The sequence below is a fragment of the Homo sapiens genome, chromosome 15 (assembly GCF_000001405.40).
Source record: "Homo sapiens chromosome 15, GRCh38.p14 Primary Assembly".
NCBI classification, from domain to species: domain Eukaryota; kingdom Metazoa; phylum Chordata; class Mammalia; order Primates; family Hominidae; genus Homo; species Homo sapiens.
Window position 1 is genome coordinate 69,190,698 of NC_000015.10, and position 19,786 is coordinate 69,210,483.

A 19,786-nucleotide genomic window follows, 5' to 3' on the forward strand; every position below is an offset into this window, starting at 1 on the left:
TACTTCTTTTTAAATACAATCTGACAATCTCTATCCCTTTTAATCAGGAGTTTAGACCATTTAGTCTTAATATGATGACTGGTATGATTAGACTTTTGTCTACTGTTGTGCTGTTTGTTTTCTATTTGTCCCATTTCTTCTTTGCATTTTTCTCTCTTTTCTTGGCATTCTTTTGGATTGAGAAGTTTTTAATGTTCTATTTTACTTGCACTATTGTCTTAGGAACTTTGCCTCTTTTCTTTTTTAGTGGTTGTCCTAGGATTACATTCTATATCTTTAACTTACACCGTGTTCCTACACATTATATTATACAACTTCTATATTTTACTTCTGTATTTGTTAAAAACCCCACAGTAGATTGTAATTATGGTTGTTTTAAACCATTTTATTTTAAAGAGTTGTAAAAATAAGAAATATCTTTTATAGTTACCCACATATTTACTCCACTGTACCTCATGTCTTTGTATGGTTCCATGTTTTTGTTTAGTATCATTTTTCTTCTGCAAAAAATCTTTCTCAATATTTTTTATTGTGCAGTTCTACTGGTGACAGATTTTCTCGGCTTTTATGTGTCTGAAAAATTACATCAACATTTCAGAAAGATATTTTTACTGGGTACCAAATTGTAGTGTATCACCTCCGGTTTGGTGGTTGGCTAGGAGGACTCGGGACTTAGCATATAGTCAAACTCATGGTTATGACTTATCACAGCAGAAGGGTACAAAGCTAAATTAGCAAATGGGAAAGGTTCATGGGTGAAGTCTGGAGGAAACAAGGCACAAGCTTACACGAATCTTCTCCCAGTGGAATCATGCAGGATACATTTAATTTAACAATGAATTGTGACAACACATGTGAATACAGTTGAACAGGAAGCTCATTAGAGACTCAGTGCCCAAGGGTTTTATTGGGAGCTGGTCAGGTAAGCGTCCTCTGCCTAGCATGTAGCAAAATTCCAGTTTCCAAGAAGGAAAGCAGATGTTCAGAATATTGTTTGCATAAATACTTCAGGCACAGTAAAACACCCTTTTTAGTTAGGGAATGTCAGGAACCCTTTTGAAGTTCAAGTTCTTAGACACCAGCCAAGGCCTAACCTTACAAGTAGGCCTTTCTAAGGATAGCACTCCTGAGCCTGCTGTGTTACCTTTTTCCTGCATACTAGGTTGCCTTGTTTTTTTCCTTTTCTGTACTTTGTAGATTTTAATTTATTGTCTTCTGACTTGTATAGCTTCAAGGAGAAATCTGTGATGACTTATCTTTGCTCCATTGAATGTAATGTACCTTTTTACCTCTGGCTGCTTTAAATGTTTTCTTTATCATTATTTTCAGCAATGTATGTGTGAATGTGTGTTTGTGTTTATCCTGCTAGATATTGCTTGAACTTCTGGGAACTGTGGGTTTGTAGTTTTCAACAAAGTGGAAATTTCTGTAGCTATTTTTTCCAATATTGCCCTACTCTTTTTGTTTTCATGCTTTCATTATGGTTATGTTGATTGCCGACATTGCTACAGAGGTCATGGCATCTTTATTTTTTGGAGGGGTTATGTGTGTGTGTGTGTGTTTCTCTCTGTCTTCATTTTTGGATAGTTTTATTCCTGTGTCTTCAATTTACTAATACTTTCTTTTGTAGTGGCTAATCTGCTACAAATCTTATATAATAATATTTTTATTTCAAGTATTTTTTTATATGTAGAAGTTTTATTTGATTCTTTTATGTTTCTTTGTCTCCTCATTGTGTTTGGGTTTTCTCTTATGCTGTTGAGGAAACATTTGTTATAGCTGTTTTAATGTTCTCATCTCTTAATTTGATCATCTCTTTCATTTCTGGTTCTGTTAATATTGACTGTTTTTCTAGTTCACAAGTCACATTTTATTGCTTCTTGATAGGTCTAATAGTTTTTTATCGAATGCTCATTATTGTGAATTTTATGTTATTTGCTGGATTTGGTTGCATTATTTTAAAGGATGTTAGTTTTTTTCTAGTATGCCACTGTTACTTACAGATAAGTTCGATCCTTTCAAAGCTTATTTTTATGCAGCTTCAGGGAGAATCTAGAGTAGCCTTAAGGACTAATTTAACCTCACTTCTAATGCATGGTCCTTCTGGAGTCACTCATGGCTGCCCTGCTATTCAGCAAGATTTCACCACTTTGGGTAATACAAATTTTAACAATTCCTGGCCTTTTGTGAGCACTGACAGTTGTTTATCTTACAACTCCTGGTAATTTTCTTTTTCTAAAGGTTGATGTTTTATTTTGCCCAGCCTCTTGGGGGTTCACCCTCCACATGTATAACTTGTATTCAGCCAAAGATCCAGTAGGACTGCTGTGCATTTTTTGGGATCTCTTTCCGTGTTGATCTCTTCTCTCAGGCATCTGCCCCCTCCCCCTCCCCCTGAATTCTAGCTGTTTTGGCCTCCCTAAACTCTGATATATGTCTTTTCAATTCAGCAATGTTCCTAGGTTCTTATGAGGTTACCTTTCCCTGCGCCATTGTTTGTAAATTACCTCCAGGCAGAAGCTGGAGGGCCCTATTATTATTGCCCTTTTAGGGCAATAGTCTGGTATCATAGACTTGTGCTGCCTTTGTTCAGTGCCAGCAAATAGTTTCCTCTATTTTATCCAATTTCTGGTTGTTAGGGAGAAGGATATTTCCAGACCCTCTTTGTCCTTCATATTCAGAAGTGGAAATCTCCCTATAAACATTGCATACTTTTCCATTTATACCATAAATGTTTCCCTTTTCTGAAGCAACTTCATCCTCGTAATGTGTGAAAATGTCAAGCCTTTACTTTTTTCTTATTATATTCAGAAGATAATAATGATGCATGTGATCAGGATCTCAAACTTCAGATTTTGCTCAGATTTTGTTTCAAATTTTTGTATTCACAAAAAATCTCCTATGCCTTTGATGAACATCTAGGTATCACTGTGGATCTGGGCTCCAAGGAGGGTGAGGCAAGGGGGGCGCCTAAGGTACAAAATTTAAGGAGACACTGACTCTCAGATGTCAATCCTGTGCTTGTACTACCTGGAGAGTAAGTGTCTCCTTAAATTTTGTACCCTAGATGCCTTGTTTGCTTCAGTCTAGTACACGCTTTGCACTGGATATTCCAGACTAAGATCACTTTTATTACCTAGGGCATTAGTCTCAAACCATTATTAACTAGATCACATATTGCCTTTGTAGTAGGTGTCTTTTTTACCTTCATAGTTAAATTATTTAAACTTCTCTGACCATCTATTTTTTTGGAGGAGTTGTAATAAAGTCTGATGTAAAATGCCAGTTCCTTAGTATTGGCTGAGAAATGAGAGAAGAAAAGAAAAGAGTATTCAGGGTAGCAAATACTGTCCCACAAAGCCAAAACCATGTGTACTGAAGCCTTACCTATTTTTAGTTTAGTCGGCCTTGGCCCTAGAAAACAGTTCCTCTCCCTACCTAGGCCAGATTCCATTAATTCCATGTGGGCTGTTGCCCACTGGGCATGCAGCTGTATTTGCAGTTTGAGAGTCCCAAGTAAGCCTGACTAGGCTTCAAAAATGAATCTAGATTTATACTAAGGAATTTTAATATGGGTCAGAGACATGCAGTTGGTCTCTGATGGTGGGAAGAACAGAGTTTTTAATCTTACATAAAATGTACTCTCTTTGAGGTCTTTGGTTTGTGACCCACTTTTGGATTGCCTTAGAGTGTTCTTGCAGCTGGAATGATAAAGGAATCTCTTTTCTCTCTTCTTAGAATATTAAAGGAGACAGGAAGAAGTCCAGATGAAGTGACTCATGGAACCATTTGTTTATCTGAACCTGAGCTAAATCTTAGGAGAGAAGGGTAAAAATAATTCATTCTTATTATTTTTAGTCCAGATTACCAGGATTTTTCAGATAGTGATGTAGGTATGGGTTCTGGCAGTAATAAACGGCAATTTTACCCAGAATGGCATCTGTTAAATATCTTCCTCTGGCACTTGAAGTGGTATTTGGTATCTGTTTGATAGTTCAGGGGTTGTTCTAAAACATTGATCCTGTGTGCAGAAAGTAACCATTAATCTCATGTTACTACTGCTTGACTCAATTTTCTTTATTTTTATTTTCTTGGACTTTTCTTTTTTAAAAAATAAGAAGAGTAGCATATTTGTACCATCTGCAAAGCACTTTTATAATGGATTGGAATGTGAAAATCTCTAATCCAGAAGGAAGATTCTTATATAGTCTTTATAGATAAATGCAATGTACCTTTCTTTAATTACTGGGTGAGGTAATATGTTGTGAAAGAAAATAGTGAACTTGGATTCAAAAAAACCTAATTATAGTTCAGGTTGAACTGCTTGTAGCTCTGTGACCTTGAGCAGGCCAGTTAATCTCTTTGAGAGTCACTTTTTTCCATCTGCAAAGTATGTGTATGTATGTGGGAGGTGGGGGAGGATGTGATAAAATCTGCCTGCCTATTTATTCGTGTCAGTGTGAAGAGCATAATAAAGATGTGAAAGCACTTGGGAAATGTGTAAAGAACATATACATACAAATGTAAAAATGATATTTATAAGTATTTTATCTCAGCAAAATCAAGTCTTGTTTTTATCTTTGGGACACTGTGTAAATATAGTCTCAGCTAAATTTTTTTTTTAAAATCACTGATAGCTTAGAAAAAGAGAAGTAAAAAAATACGTATATTGGAAAATGGATGGAAAACACATCAAAGGTTACAAGTTACCTATGAAAGAATTGATAAAATCTCCTTAGAGTTTGTGTGTGTGTGTGTTTGTGTGTATTAACAAAATTTGAAATTTTTACTTACCTTCTCTTTCACCTCTAGACTTTGAAAGTCTGTATCAGATTTTGTGACATATTGTATGTGGATTGTCTACTTTAGATTATCCATGGAAAACTATTTTTTAAAATCAGTCGTGTTGCTCCTTGTTGTCTAAGACAATTCTGGATGTTTTCTCCTGATTGGTATGTTTTCAGGGGAATGCAAACTAATTTAATATAGCCCTGGTGTGTATAATGAGGGTGTTAAATCTGTCAGAACACAAATCACAATGATTGAAATATGAATGTAATATTTTGGTACCTTTGAAACTATTAAATTACTCCCCTATATTACATTAAATCAGTGAGAGAATTCCCTTGGTTGGTTCATTCATTCATTAAACAAATATTAATACCATTCCTACTATTGCCAGGTACTGTTGTATCACATACAACAGTAAACAAAACAGACAAAAATTTCTGCCTCTATGGAGCTTACATTCTAGCTGAGAGGGAAACTGAAACTAACAGATAAAATATATACTGTATCAGATAGCAAAATAAAGGAGGGAAAGGGGATGGGGGAGTGTTGGAAGGCATGGCAGTTGGAGGAGGGCAGGCCTGGGAAGGATTGTGACATTTGAGTGAAGACCTACAAGGAATCTGTACAGATATCTCAGGGAAGAACATTCCTGTTCTAAGGTATAGCAAGGGTAACAGATTTGAGGAAAGTGTGTGCCTAGTATGTTCAAGGAACAAGGAGGAGGCTAGTGTGACTGAAGTGGAGTGAGCATGGAGTGTTAGGCTGGTGCAGACATAATTGCGGTTTTTGCATTGTTTAAATTTGCTGTTTGGTATTGGAATACATTATTAAATAAATGTGGTTATGTTATACATAATTTTAATGTGCATTTCTTGCTTTGTTTTGCTAATGACTTATTACTTGCTGTTTATTTTATATTTATTTAGACTATGGAAATGATGTTAGACAAAAAGCAAATTCAAGTGATTTTCTTATTCAAGTTCAAAATGGGTCATAAAGCAGCAGAGACAACTCGCAGCATCAACAATGCATTTGGCCCAGAAATTGCTAACAAAGGTACAGTGCAGTGGTGGTTCAAGAACTTTTGCAAAGGAGACGAGAGCCGTGAAGATGAGGAGTGTTGTGCCCGGCCATCAAAAGTTGGCAACGACCAATTGAGAGCAATCATCGAAGCTGATCCTCTTACAACACTAGAAGTTGCCGAGAACTCAACATCAACCATCCTACGGTCATTCAGCATTTGAAGCAAATTAGAAGGTTGTAAAAGCTCGATAAGTGGGTGCCTCATGAGCTGACTGAAAATAAAAACAATCGTCATTTTGAAGTGTTGTCTTCTCTTACTTTGTGTAACAACAATGAACCATTTCTTGATCAGATTGTGACGTGCGTTGGTAAGTGGATTTTATATGACAACCGCTGATGACCAGCTTGGTGGTTGGACTGAGAAGAAGCTCCAGAGCACTTCCCAAAGCCAAACTTCTACCAAAATGTTAATGGTCACTGTTTGATGGTCTGCTGCCGGTCTGATCCACTACAGCTTTCTGAGTTCCAGCAAAACCATTACATCTGAGAAGTATGCTCAACAAATCTCTGAGATGCATGGAAAGCTGCAACGCCTGCAGCCAGCATTGATCAACATAAAGGGCCCAGTCCTTCGGCACAACAATGCCTGACAATGCGTCGCACAACCAACGCTTCAAAAGTTGAATGAATTGGGCACAAAGTTTTGCCTCATCCACCGTATTCACCTGACTTCTTGCCAACTGACTACCACTTCTTCAAGCATCTCAGCAACTTTTTGCAGGGAAGATGTTTCCACAACCAGAATGCAGAAAAAGCTTTCCAAGAGTTTATCGAATCCCAGATCACACATTTTTACACTACAGGAATAAATAAACTTATTTCTCATTGGCAAAAATGTGTTGATTGTAATGTTTCCTATTTTGATGAATAAAGATGTGTTTGAGCCTAGTTATAATATAATGATTTAAAATTCACGGTACAAAACCGCAATTACTTTTGCACCAACCTAATAAGATTAAAACCAGTAGAGGTGGGTATTTTGAGAACCATGTATTTCAAGGACGGAATTATTGTTTGTGTCAGCTACTGCTCATAGGTAAAATAAGAGGAAGTCGGAGAATCGATTGTTGTGTTTAGCAATGTGGAAGATGTTGGTGACCTTAAATAAGTGCAAGTTGGTAGACAGATGGGATGAAAAGCTTGGTTGATATGGATTCAGGAGAAAATGGGAGATGTGGAGACAGTGAGTGTAGATAACACTTTTGAGTTTTATTGTAAAGGGGGAACTATGCACATTTGGTGTGTAGAGTTAAGAGAGTGGGCTTTAAAAAATTTTTTGGTTCTATGTTTAATGTGACAGGAATAATCCAGTAGAGAGGGAATATTTGACAATGCAGTAGAAGGAAGAGAAAATTGCTGCAGCAGTTTTCTTGAATAGGTGGGAAATAATTGGGATTACCTTTAGTTTTCCAAAGTGACCATTGTATTTCTTTGATGCTTATAATTCACATTCTTCCCTTTTAAAGAACATCAGTGCCTGAGCCTTTTTATATACATATCCTTTCTTATGTCTGTACCTTACCCCTCACATGTATACTTTTTTCTTTTTTTTAAAAAACCCTGCATGTGGCATTCAAACACATGTATGCTTTTATCAGAGCCCCTAAAATACTTTATTACATTTATTTACATGTCTCACCCATTACTGGATTGTCGATACCTTGATCTATGTTATTACTCAACTATTGGTTCTTTGACTGTAGTGTTTTTATTCATTGCTACATGCCTATATTAGTTACCCATTGTTGCATAACAAATTACTTTAAAACATAGCCACTCAAAACACACATTTATTATATTGCAGTGAGTCAGGAATCCAGGAACAGCATAGGTGCTGGGTCTCTTACAAGGTTATGAACCAATGTGTTGACAGGGCCTGAAGTCTCATCAGAAATCTTGATGTGAAAGGATCCATTTTCTAGGTCACTCATAAGGCAGGATTCATTTCTTCTCAGGCTGTTGGCCAGAGGCCTCCCTTGGACCCGTGCCAAAGGGCCCCATAGAGCATCTCACAGTATGGCAGTTGACTTAGAGCAAACAAGCAAGAGGGCAAGAAAAAGTGCCAGCAAAAGAGAGTGCTAGCAAGAAGCACATCACAATTTTTATAACCTAATCACAGAAGTGACTTCCCATCACTGTTGCCATATTTTCTTTATTTTTTAAAATTGAGACAGAGTCTTACTATGTTGCCCAGGCTGGTCTTGAACTCCTGGGCTCAAGTGATCCTCCTGCCTTGGCCTCCCAAAGTCTTGGGATTACAGGCGTGAACCACCATGCTTGGCCAATATTTTCTTCTTTATAAGCAAGTTACTAGGTCTAGCCCACACTTAAAGAGGGTTACACAACATGTGACTATCAGAAGGCAGGGATCACTGCAGGGACGTATTAGAAGTCCGCCACCCGGTCCCCAAACTCTAGAACTATAAAAATGCTTAACTTGTTGAATGAATTAACCTTTTTCCAAGCACCCTCATAACTGGTAGTGTACATTTGTAAGAGGGCTGGTCAAGGGTAAGAATTTGGTTTGAGACTGTATACAGAATAACTTGATACTCATGGATTATTTCAACTGTTTCTTGTTTCCTTAATGATTTGCTTTTATGAAATAATGTTAATGAAAAGTTCAAGTCATTTTGTATCTTCAGGAGCTAAGCAAAACCAGGAATGCTATTCAAGAAAATCAGAATACATGCAGTATATTTTAATAGGAATTCTAGAAATAATCTGATAGCAAGCTGTATTTTGAGATAATTCAAGCTTCCAGTCATTCCTAACATATATACCCTTTTATGACATGGATGAGCATAAGGATATATAAAAATCTGTGCAATTGAAATGTAGTTGAATTTGATCTCTACTATAAAATAATCTTTATAAAAATAAGATTTTAACAGGTAGGAATAAGCATCATCAATCAGATCATGGATTTCAATTTTTTTGCATAGTTTACATGTTGAGGTGATTTAATCTTTTGAAGAAAACTAAGGAATCTCATCCTCTTATAAAATGTTAGATATTAGAAATAACTTGTCCAATCCTATATTTTTATAGTTGAGGAAATGGCTACCCAGTGACGTACCCAAGCTTTCTGGTGGCACGGCCAGTGCCAGATCCCAGGCCTCCTGACTCCATTCAGTGCACTGTACCATGCCTTAAACCATACTGGAGCCACTTGGGGAGTTTAAAAACTTTTATGCTTCTCTTATCCCCAGACCTTTTGATTTAATTGGTATGGGTTAGAACTTGGTCATTGGAAGTTTTAAACACGCCCCAGGTGATTCATGCATCATAGTCTGGGAACCTCTACTCCAAAAAGAATTAGTGTGCTTGAGGAATTGGAACTAGAGTGAAATCAGTGGTACAGACTTCTATCCGTTATGATTCCTTAATCACTTATTTGGCTGGGTTTTATCAGAGTAGTAAGACAATTTTTTACATTGAGAAATAATTAAGATATATGCAGAGCAAAGACTTCCTTAATAAAACTGTCCTTTCACTAGTATTTTGTGAGATAGCCTGTGACAAAATTTTTCCTAATCATGAAATTGGAGAACAATTTTTTGACACTAATCAGGCAAGGAGAAAGTTTCGTGCCATCTGTGTTGTGGCATGCTCTGCTGTTGTTTTAACTAGATAAAATTCTAATTACTGTTAAACAGATTGTTTATGAGGTTGTTTTTAATATTTTAGAGCAAGTGCATAAATATAAAGAGGCAAAGAAATGGTTCCAGATTTAAAATACAGTTTCTTTAAAAGTAAATCAGAATTTGACACACTGGGTTGTTTAATTACACATTTCAGTTTGGGTCCTTGGTACTGCAATGTTGCAAGGCATATGAAATTTGCAGTTTGTTACAACTATTCTGTTGTGTCGTTTTATACTTTTGGATATAAAGCTGACCAAACATTCTAACTAGAAAATACTAATTCATGATTGATAAGTGGCATTTTGTTTCTACATATTGTTCTTTTAAACAAGGTCTTTCTTTGATAATGACAGATGTAGGGAATATGAAGCAGAAGAGGTAAGAATAGGAGATTATGATCAGATCAAAGCATTTCAGAATGTTAAATCTTTTATTGAACCAGTATCAGGGTGTTGACAAGAAAAGCTATATATTTGGGTTGCTAGAGTAGAAGCGATAAGGGGCATATTAGTTTTCTATTGCTACCATCATAAATCAATACAAACTTGGTAGCTTAAACAGAAAGCTTTTTAATCTTACAGTTCTGTGAGTCAGTAGGCCAATCCAGGTCTCATTGGGTTAAAATAAAAATTTCAGCATGGCCATGTTCCTTTCTGGAGGCTGTAGGGCAAGATCAGTTTCCTTGCTTATATGAGGTTTTGGTAGAATTCACTTCCTTGTGGTTGTAGCATTTGTCTTGATCAGAGCCCTTTCTAGCACCTACATTCCACCCTCGTTCCCTGGCATGTGGCCCTCCTTCATCTTCAAAGCCAGTAACAAAGGTCAAGTCCCTCTCAAGCTTCCAGTATTTCCTTCTCCTTTGATTTAAACTCTCTGATCCACCTTCTGTCTTCCTCTTCCACTTTAAAAGCCTCATGTGATGAGATTGGGCCTACCTGGATAATACAGAGTAATCTCTCCCATCTCAAGTTCCTTAACCTTAATTACAACTGCAAGTCCCTTTTGCCATGTAAGGTAACTTAGGTTCCAGTGCTTAAGGGCACAGACATCTTTGGAGGGCCATTGTTCTGCCTGTCAAAGAGGGCTAGATCACTGGAGTCAAGGAAGCCAAGTGTCAGTATTGACATAGCTGTTGAAAGTCTTCATTTATACAACAAATTTTTTTTAGTGCTTGCTGTGTCTAGTCATTGTAGTAGGCACTGGGGCTATTGTGGTAAACAAGACAGACATAGTATCTGCCCTTGCCTATCTAGCAGTATACTTATAAAAACAAGTAAAACATATAGCATTGCTTTATAAAGAATTCTTCATGTATTCCATATTTATGTAAGCTCTTTGAAAGCCAGTACTAGTGTTCTTTGTTTTGGCCCTTTCCTCATCCCATCACTACAGCAGTGTTTTACATACTAGATGCTTAACAGATACTGTTAACAAAGGCTTACTTTGTTTTTTCTTTGCATTGAGTTAGAAACCTCATTTATCTCTCTTTTTTTCTATTTTCTGCTTCAAAAGCAGTGAGGAATTTTGAGTTCAAAAATCCAGACTTAGAGGACAATTTAAGATTTAATCAGATACCCACTGAGGAATTTTTAAAAAGTCCTTAAGAATGACCATGTACTCCATTTTACTTTTCTTGGTAAAGACTCTAAAGTGCTAAAGGCAGCTCTGTTTTGCTTTTTCCTCCTCCTCCTCCTATTATTATTATTACTGTTATTTTTGAGAAAGGGTCTGGCTCTGTCACCCAGGCTGGAGTGCATTGGTATGAGCACAGGCTCACTGTAGCCTTGACCTCCTCAGCTCAAACAGTCTTCCTACCTCAGCCTCCCAACGAACTGGGACTATAGGCACACTGTACCACATCTGGCTATTTTTTACATCTTCTGTAGAGATGGAGTCTCACTATGTTACCCAGGCTGGTCTTGAGCTCCTGGGCTCAAACTATCCTTACACCTTGGCCTCCCAAAATGATGGGATTATAGGCATGAACCACGGTTCCCAGCCTTGCTTTCACCTCCTAAATTCAACAGTCAGAGAGTACTTACCCAATTAAAAAAAAAAATCAACAGTTGCTTTAAACCAGTATTCACCTATAGTGAAGAACTGCCAACTCAGAAGCAAATTAAAATAAATTTTTCAATATGGCTTTTCTGAGATAGATAGACTTTTAAAATAATGGAAGAGATTTACTATCTGTTGGTCACTGCTCTCAGAGCTTCTATCTTCCTCATATACAATTCTCTCTTGTGCTCCCACTGTGTGCCGAGTGTGGGTCTACCCTTCATGGAAAAACTGCGGTATTCTTACCAATCGTTAAATGCCTTCTAAAAGACAGTTATTTGTAGTTTTCTTAGTGATAGTCCTGGTTACAATTCTGTATCATGTAGTTTCCCAATGTAGCAATAGGAAACTTCAGTAATGGTGGATTGGAGTAAGCATAGGTATATGAGATTTATAGTCTACACAGGCATTGATTTCAATCATAGAACTTTTTATCAGAACTATTAGCAAGTGGTTAAATATACTTGTAACACAGGTTTGGGCTACATAGTGTTAAGTGTCACATGAGGCCTTCTTAATTTCAGTACATACCAAGTTCTCCATCCCAAATCCCTTCTTGATTCTTTGATGATTTAACATTATTTATGGATAATTTCTTATTCTGACCTTTAATGTTTCTAAACAAATAGCCTAAATATATTTTATATAAAACTTCATTTCTGAAAGAAGAACTTTTGGAATAATGGGTGGAAAGTTCATTTGATTTGCTTAAGTGTAGAGATGGCTATTGTGATATTTAAGTTTGGATGGTACTAATTTGGGTGAAGGAAAGTAGTAGCTACTTTTATAGAGATAGGTGGTTCAATCTTTAAAATGTTACTAGGTAATGTTGATTTCTGTGAACTTAGCATTTCAGTGGCCAGTAAGGTAAAGCATCCTGTTGGGTTTAGTTCATATGTAAAAATTCTTATTAATTGGCAACTTTTGAAGAGAGCTGGAAGTTTAACTGTGAATGGTGTAATACTAATTAACTGAAGTTTTCTTGATTCTTTGAAAAAGATGGGAAAAAACTCCTGTGTTTATGGACATTAAAATATAGTAGTGACTTAAACACACGCAATGCTACAGAGAGAAGAGACAGGAAATTTACTAACCTACTGAAACTTTTGACAGGTGCAGTGCATCTTTGGAAGTCAGATTTTGATTATTATTAATAAAACAGCCTTTGTTTAGTAAGTTGAACATCAAGTGAGAAGATTACATGGAGCAGTAAGCATACAGATTTGCAATAGGTACTCCATTCAGTGGGTTTTAATGGGTGTCAAAACTAAACTGACCTTAGTGAATTATAGCTACTGCACACACATGGCTTCAGTTAGAAAGGATATGGTACCAGGTAATGTCATCAGTTTTTCCAAATGTGTTCCTGGGGAAAATAACCTAAATTCTTGAAGCAGATCATTTAACTTATAATTGGATGTAATATTATGACAAGAAAAGACCTTAAGGCAAAAACTGTTCCTTATAGAGGCTTTTTGTTTTTCATTTGAAATTAGTGCAGTTGCTGATTGGCTTTAAAAAAAACCCTCATATTCTTTTAAATATAATAATCTGAAGGTGTTGCTAAATTTACTAGCCCAACTGAGAAACAACAGTATCCTTAAAAACAAATAATTGAGTTTAGGTTAAATGGAAATAGTTGGCTAAATATGATTTTTAAAAATAATACCTAAGGTACATGTAGGAACCAGATAGATTAAATAACATGATAGAAAGTGTTCAGAAGAGGTAGTACTTTTATACTTAGTTTTAAAAAATTTAAATTCCTCTACTATGTAGATTTTTATATTTTGTGACCACATGCATGTATAGTATAGTAATAATTCACTGTAAGCTTGTAGTGTACTATATTAGTTGAAGTACGATAAAGAAATTCTTGCAGAAGAGTAGAAATACTTCTGAAATACTGTGTTTTCCAGCTTGCATTCCTCATCCTACTTATTCAAATAAAGCGACTATTTTTTCCCTGATAAAAAAGTTAGAAACAAATGATTGTTTTACTTTTTTTTTTTTTTTTTTTTTTTGAGATGGAATCTCACTCTGTCACCCAGGCTGGAGTGCAGTGGCACGATCTCAGCTCACTACAACCTCTGTCTCCCAGGCTTAAGTGATTCTCATGACTCAGCCTCCCGAGTAGCTGGGATTACAGGCGTGTGCCACCACACCCAGCTAATTTTTTTGTATTTTTGGTAGAGACAGGGTTTCACCATGTTGGCCAGGCTGATCTCAAACTCCTGACCTCAGGTGATCTGCCCACCTTGGCCTCCCAAAGTCCTGGGATTACAAGCATGAGCCACCTTGCCTGGCCTGTTTTACTTTTTATTTTCAGAATGCTTATTATGCAATGGAAGCAGAATTAATCATATTCCTCTCCCTGACCAACAATGTGGAATTCTCTACTGACTGTAAATCAGTATTTTTAAAAGAGCTTTAATGAAAGTTCTTTTATGATACCACTAAGCAGATGTCAGGATTTACTTTTCAATTAGGTGGTATAGTGGTGATGAGCAGATCAGACTCCTTTGCAGGTGATACATTGCTTAGGGGAACTGACATTTAGACCATTGATCCCTCTAGTGATTTTACATGTCACGACTGAGCTATTTGTCACTTGCTCTATCTGAAAAGTAGGCAGAATAAACAAGAGGATTTTTACAGACTATAAGATCCAAACTAAATAATCCTGAAAAGGCCTTTGATTTAAAATTCTTTTAAGTATCATAAATTTTATTTTTTTAAATGAACATGCAGTAAAACTGACTTTTCCTATGTATAGTTGATATATTTCAACATGTATAGATTTATCTAACCACCATCACAGTCAATATCCAGAATAGTTTCCTTAGCTCAAAAAACTCCTGTGTTATCCCTGTGTAGTTGTGCTCCCCCCCACCCCTCAATACCTGGTAACTCTGCCATTTTACTTTTGTCTTTTCAAAAATGGTCATGAAGTGGAATAATAGAGCATGAAGCCATTTAAGACTGTTACATATCCATTTACTCAGCATATGCCTTATAAGATTCATATAAGTTGTTCTGTGTATTGATATTTTATTCCTTTTTATTACTGAGTAGTATTCAGTTGTATGGATGTACCACAGTTTGTTTATAAGTTTATTAATTGGAGGACATTTGAGTTGTTTCCAGTTTTTAGCTATTTTGAATAGAGCTTCTATAAACATTTGTGTATAGGATTTTGTGCAAATGAGTTCTCATTTCTTTTGGGTAAAAATACATAGGTATGGGATTGGTGGGTCATATGGTAAATATTTATTGTCAAGAAATTGACAAACTGTTTTCTAAAATGGCTGTTTCCACTTTGTATTTCCATCAGCAATGTATGAGTGTTCTAGTTGTTCTGCACAGTTGTCAGCACTTGGTATGTTCAATCTTTTTCATTTTAGCCATTCTAATAGATTTGTAGTGGTACCTGATAATGAGTTTCATTTTTCACTTTCCTGATAGCTAGTGATGTTGCGCATTTTGTCGTATGTTTTGTTATATTCTCTTTGGTGAAGGATCTATTCAGGTCCTTTGACCATTAAAAACAACCTTTTTATTTTGGTAGAAGTTTAGGTGTATAGAAGAGTTACAAAGATAATACAAAGAGTTTTATATTCCTTTATATTCCTCACACAGCTTGCCATAATAATAACAGTTTACAAAACCAAGTGCATTTTTCAAAACCAAGAAACCAACAGGTGCCTTACTACCAACCAAACTCCAGATTCCAAATTGAGATTTTGCCAGATTTTCCACTGGGTCTCCTGTTCTTGAATCCATTCCAGTATTACATGTTACATTTGTTATCTCTCCCTAAATCTCCTATAGTCTATGACAGTTTCTCTGCCTTTCTTTGTTTTTCATAAACTTGATAGTTCTGAGTACTAGTACCAGTCAGATATTTTGCAGAGTGTCTCTCAATTTGTGTTTGTCTGATGCTTTTCTTGTGATTAGACTGAGGTTATGAGTTTTAGGAAGAATACACAGAGGGAAATGCCCTTTTCCTCACATCTTATCAAAGTGCATGATGACAGCATTACTTGGCTAAGGTACTGTTTATCAGATTTCCTCACTGTAAAGTCGATATTTTTGTCTTTTTGTATTATATTCTTTAGAAATGAGTTGCTAATTTCAGCCCACAATCAAAAGGGTGGGAGATTGTTTCATCTTATGGATAGGGTATATCTATATGTTATTAAGTTTTCTTCTGTAAGTAAGCCTTTGTCCCTTCTCTTCCATTTATTTATTCAGTCATTTATATCAATATGTATACTTATTTTATACATTGGCTTATAATTCAATACTATGTTATTTTGTTGCTAAAATTGTTCCAGTGTTGGTCCCTGTATTCCTTTGACATGTCCCGTCCTTTTCTTTTTTGAATACTTCCTTAATTTCTGGTACTACAAGATACTCCAGGCTTATCATATATTTTCTCTGCCCTACCCCTAGAATCAGCCATTTCCACCAGGAGCCCTGGTTTCTTGTGTTGGAGAATTGTGTTTAGATCCATTGTCTCTCTGGGTACTGGATATACTTGTTGATGCAGGGGTATCACCATTTCAAGGCCTTCTCAGAGGATAGAGCTAGGAAATAATACATTTGTATATTAATCATGTATTTATGTACATCTATAATTGTTTCTGTACCTATTTGTATTATATATTTTGCTGTATATATATTATATGTTAAGTTCATACTGATGTCTGTGACTAATCCAGTACCACAGGGTTCATTCTAGGCTTCCCCACTTTGCTTATCTGTAACTTTCCTTTCTAACAGAAACCTGGCCTTATCCATTTACTTGTTTGTTCCATCTCAGTAAAGCAAGTTCACAATTGTTAACCAGTACCCCTGTGAGAAATAAATTTACCCTACCCCCTTTAGTTGGGTTATGCCATTCATTTATAATACAGCCAGATTCATTTGTCATGGACTGCATTCTATCTTAAAATTCCCCCAGCATCTTTGTTGATTTTTTAAAATTTGCATACATTAAAGTTCAGTCTTTGTGATGTGCGGTTCTGTGGGTTTTGACAAATGCATAACGTCATGTATACACCACCTCAGTGTCATACAGAACAACTTCATCACACTAAAAAATTTCTCCATGCATCCCCTTTGTAGTCAGCCACTACTCCATACCCCAACTCCTCTCCTGACAACCAAAATCTCCTGTAGTTTTGCATTTTCCATTGTGTCATCTGAATGCAATCGTATAATATATTGCTTTTGGATCTGACTTCTTTCATTTAGAAAAATACATTTAAGGTTTATTCATATTGTTTCATGAATCAAATAGTTCATTCCTTTTCATTTCTGCATAGTATTTTATTGTATAGGAATACCACAGTTTGTTTATCCATTCACCCGGACATTTTGGTTGCTTCCAGGTTTTGGTGATTATGAATAAAGCTTCATTAAATATTGGTGTATAGGTTTTTGTCTGAATACAAGTTTTCAGTTCAGTTTAGTAAGTATCTAGAAGTTTGACTGCTGTGTCATATGATAAATGTATACTTAGCTCTGTTAGAAACTGCCAAACTGTGTTTCAGGTGGTTGTGCCATTTTTTATTTCCACCAGTAATGAATGAGATTTCCTATTGCTCTGTATCTTTAGCAGCATTTGGAATTACCAGTTGTTTTTGTTTGTTTGTTTGTTTGTTTTTTAAGCTATTCTAATCATGTACTTTTGCTCATATTTAAATTATATTGTTTTCTTACTGTTGAGTTTTGAGTGTTCTATATATTTGTTGGACAGAAGTCCTTTGTTCCATAAGCGATTTGCAGGTATTATCTCCCTGTCAGTAGCTTGTCCTTATGTTATGTTAAAGATACCTTTCCAGAGCATAAATTTTTAATTTTGTTGAAGTCCAATTTATAACTTTTAATTTTATGGATTATGTTTTTGATGTCATATCTCAGAACTCTGCTTAACTTCAGGTAACAAAGATTTTCTTCTTCTTTGTCATTTTCTAGGTACAAGTTTTACAGTTTTATATTTTACATTTAAGTTTGAGTGAATTTTTGTATAACATGAGGGTTTAGGTGAAATTTTATTTTTTTCTTTGCATATGGATGCACAGTTGTTCCAACACCATTTGTTGAAAAGACAATCCTTTCCTCACTATATGTCTTTGAACCTTTGACAAAAATCAGTTGACCCTGTTTGTGTGGATATATTTGTGAACACTCTATTCTTTTCCATTGATTGATCTCTCCCTTCAGCAATATCACATTGTCTTGGTAAGTAGCTTAAAGCCTTAAAATTAGGTAGTATAATTCCTTCAACTTTATTCATTTTAAAAATAGTTTTGTCTTCTCTAGTTCTTTTGCCTTTCCATAATAATCTTGGCATCAGCTTGTCTATAACTACAAAAAATCCTGGAATTTTGATTGGAGTTGCATTAAATTTCTAGACCAGTTTGGGGAGAATTGACATCTTTACAATGTTGAGCTTTCTGATCTATGAACACAGGATATCTTTCTACTTACTCAGATTTTCCTGATGCATACATCAGCATTTCGTTGTTGTTAGCATATAGCTCTTGTACATGTTCTAATATGTTTATGCTCAAGTATTTGTTTTTTATGGAGCTATTTTGAACGGTATTATTTTTAAATGTGAGGGTTCCAAATTGTTCATTGTTAATGTACAGAAATGTGATTGATGTTGACCTTTTCTCCCCAATCTTTCTGTATGTTCAGATTGGATCATTTTTATTCATCTGTAGTAAGTTCACTGACTTTTTCTTCTGTCGTCTTGATTCGGCTATTGAGCTCATTTAGTGAGCTTTTTATTTTGGTTATTGGTATTTTTCCACTTCTAAAATTTCCATTTGGTTCTTCTTTTATCTTCTATTTTTTTTTCTGAGTTTATCTCTGTTTCAAGAATGTTTGCACTTACTTGTTAAAGCATTCTGTAATAATGGCTCTAAATATCTTTAATATCTTAGATAATTTTAATATCTTTGTTTTCTTGATGTTAGTATTTTTCCTGTGCAAGTTGAGTTTTTTTGATTCCTTGTATACCTAGTAATTTTGGATTATGTCCTGGACATTTGACTATTATGTTAGGAGACGTTGGGTCTTGTTTAAATACTATGCAAAATGTTGATATATTTGTTTTAGTAGACAGTCAACCCAGTTAGAGTCACACTGCAAATTTCTGTGGATTGTAGTTACAACATCAGTTTGATTTTCAAAACTTTTGCCATATTACTTGGTTCTGTCCCACATGTGTACCACCCATTGCCAGTCTGGAACTTGAGGGGTCGTCTGTTCATAATTCTCAAAGTCTGTGTATGTTTGTTTGGGTCAGATGTATGCATGTGCCACTCGAGGGTGAGTCCAGGAGTTCATAAAACAACTTTGAGGTGTTGCTCTCCCATGTTCCTTGTCTGTGATCTCCCAGTAATTTCTAATTCTGCATGGCTCCCCTTTTCTGATCAGAAAGTGGATCTTTATCCCTCTTTAATGTTCACTCCCTGCAGCTGTGCCCATATTCAGGGCCAAGTGGCAGGAGGACAGAGAGAGAAGCAAAAGGGATTCACCACATCCTCTTGGGACCACAGCTTCTGTGATCAGAGAGGTAGATTCCCTCTCTCAGAGTTTTAGTTCTTAGTAACCTCCATTGCCACTGCTGCCACAGCTGTGATGGGTGGCTGGGCTTGAGAGAGTGAAGAGAGAAAAAAACGGGGGGATTTGCACACTTCCTTGTGAGTCCTAAGAGACCCCTTTCCCTCTCTCAAGCCAGAGGTAGAGGGCTTCTCCTGAAGCTTTCCATTTGGGCTGTATTATGTTCAGTCTGGATGAAAGCAGAGGGGGAAATAAATGGTAAACCTGTGGTTGCTTCAGTGGTACATCAAATTCTGGTTGTTTTAATCGGCCTGCTACTGTTACTTTTCAAAGTTCCTTAGTAGTTGTTCCATGCATTCTGTCCAGGTCTTATAGCTACATTAACTTGTTGGCATGTGATTACCCCATCTTATCTGGAACTGGAAGCTGACTTAAGGTTTTCAATTTTGTTTCTCTAGGAATTTGACAAGAAACTGAAGTTTTGATTCAGATATATTTTGAATTGAAACCAGAGATGTTCTAGAGTTTAGATTCTTTCATTTGATTAAGGTAAGATTGTTTGATAAAATTTAATCATACCTTTACTGTACGTTTTCAGTGATGTGCTAGAATTTAGATTGTTTCAT

General features: G+C 35.9%; 1 protein-coding gene across 9 annotated transcripts in view; it reads left to right on the forward strand.

Annotated features, from left to right (window-relative positions):
* The window catches only part of GLCE (glucuronic acid epimerase), a 111,573-nt gene that overhangs the window by 30,063 nt on the left and 61,724 nt on the right, over positions 1-19,786 (forward strand). For 7 of the 9 annotated variants that reach the window (NM_001324093.2, XM_047432377.1, XM_047432376.1 and 4 more), the window contains one exon: positions 19,619-19,709. The gene's annotated coding sequence lies outside the window, so the exon portion shown is untranslated. Of the gene's footprint in view, positions 1-3,738; positions 3,829-5,717; positions 6,845-19,618; positions 19,710-19,786 lie in introns of all 9 variants that reach the window. The other 2 variants (NM_001324094.2, XM_047432379.1) reach the window with 2 other exon arrangements.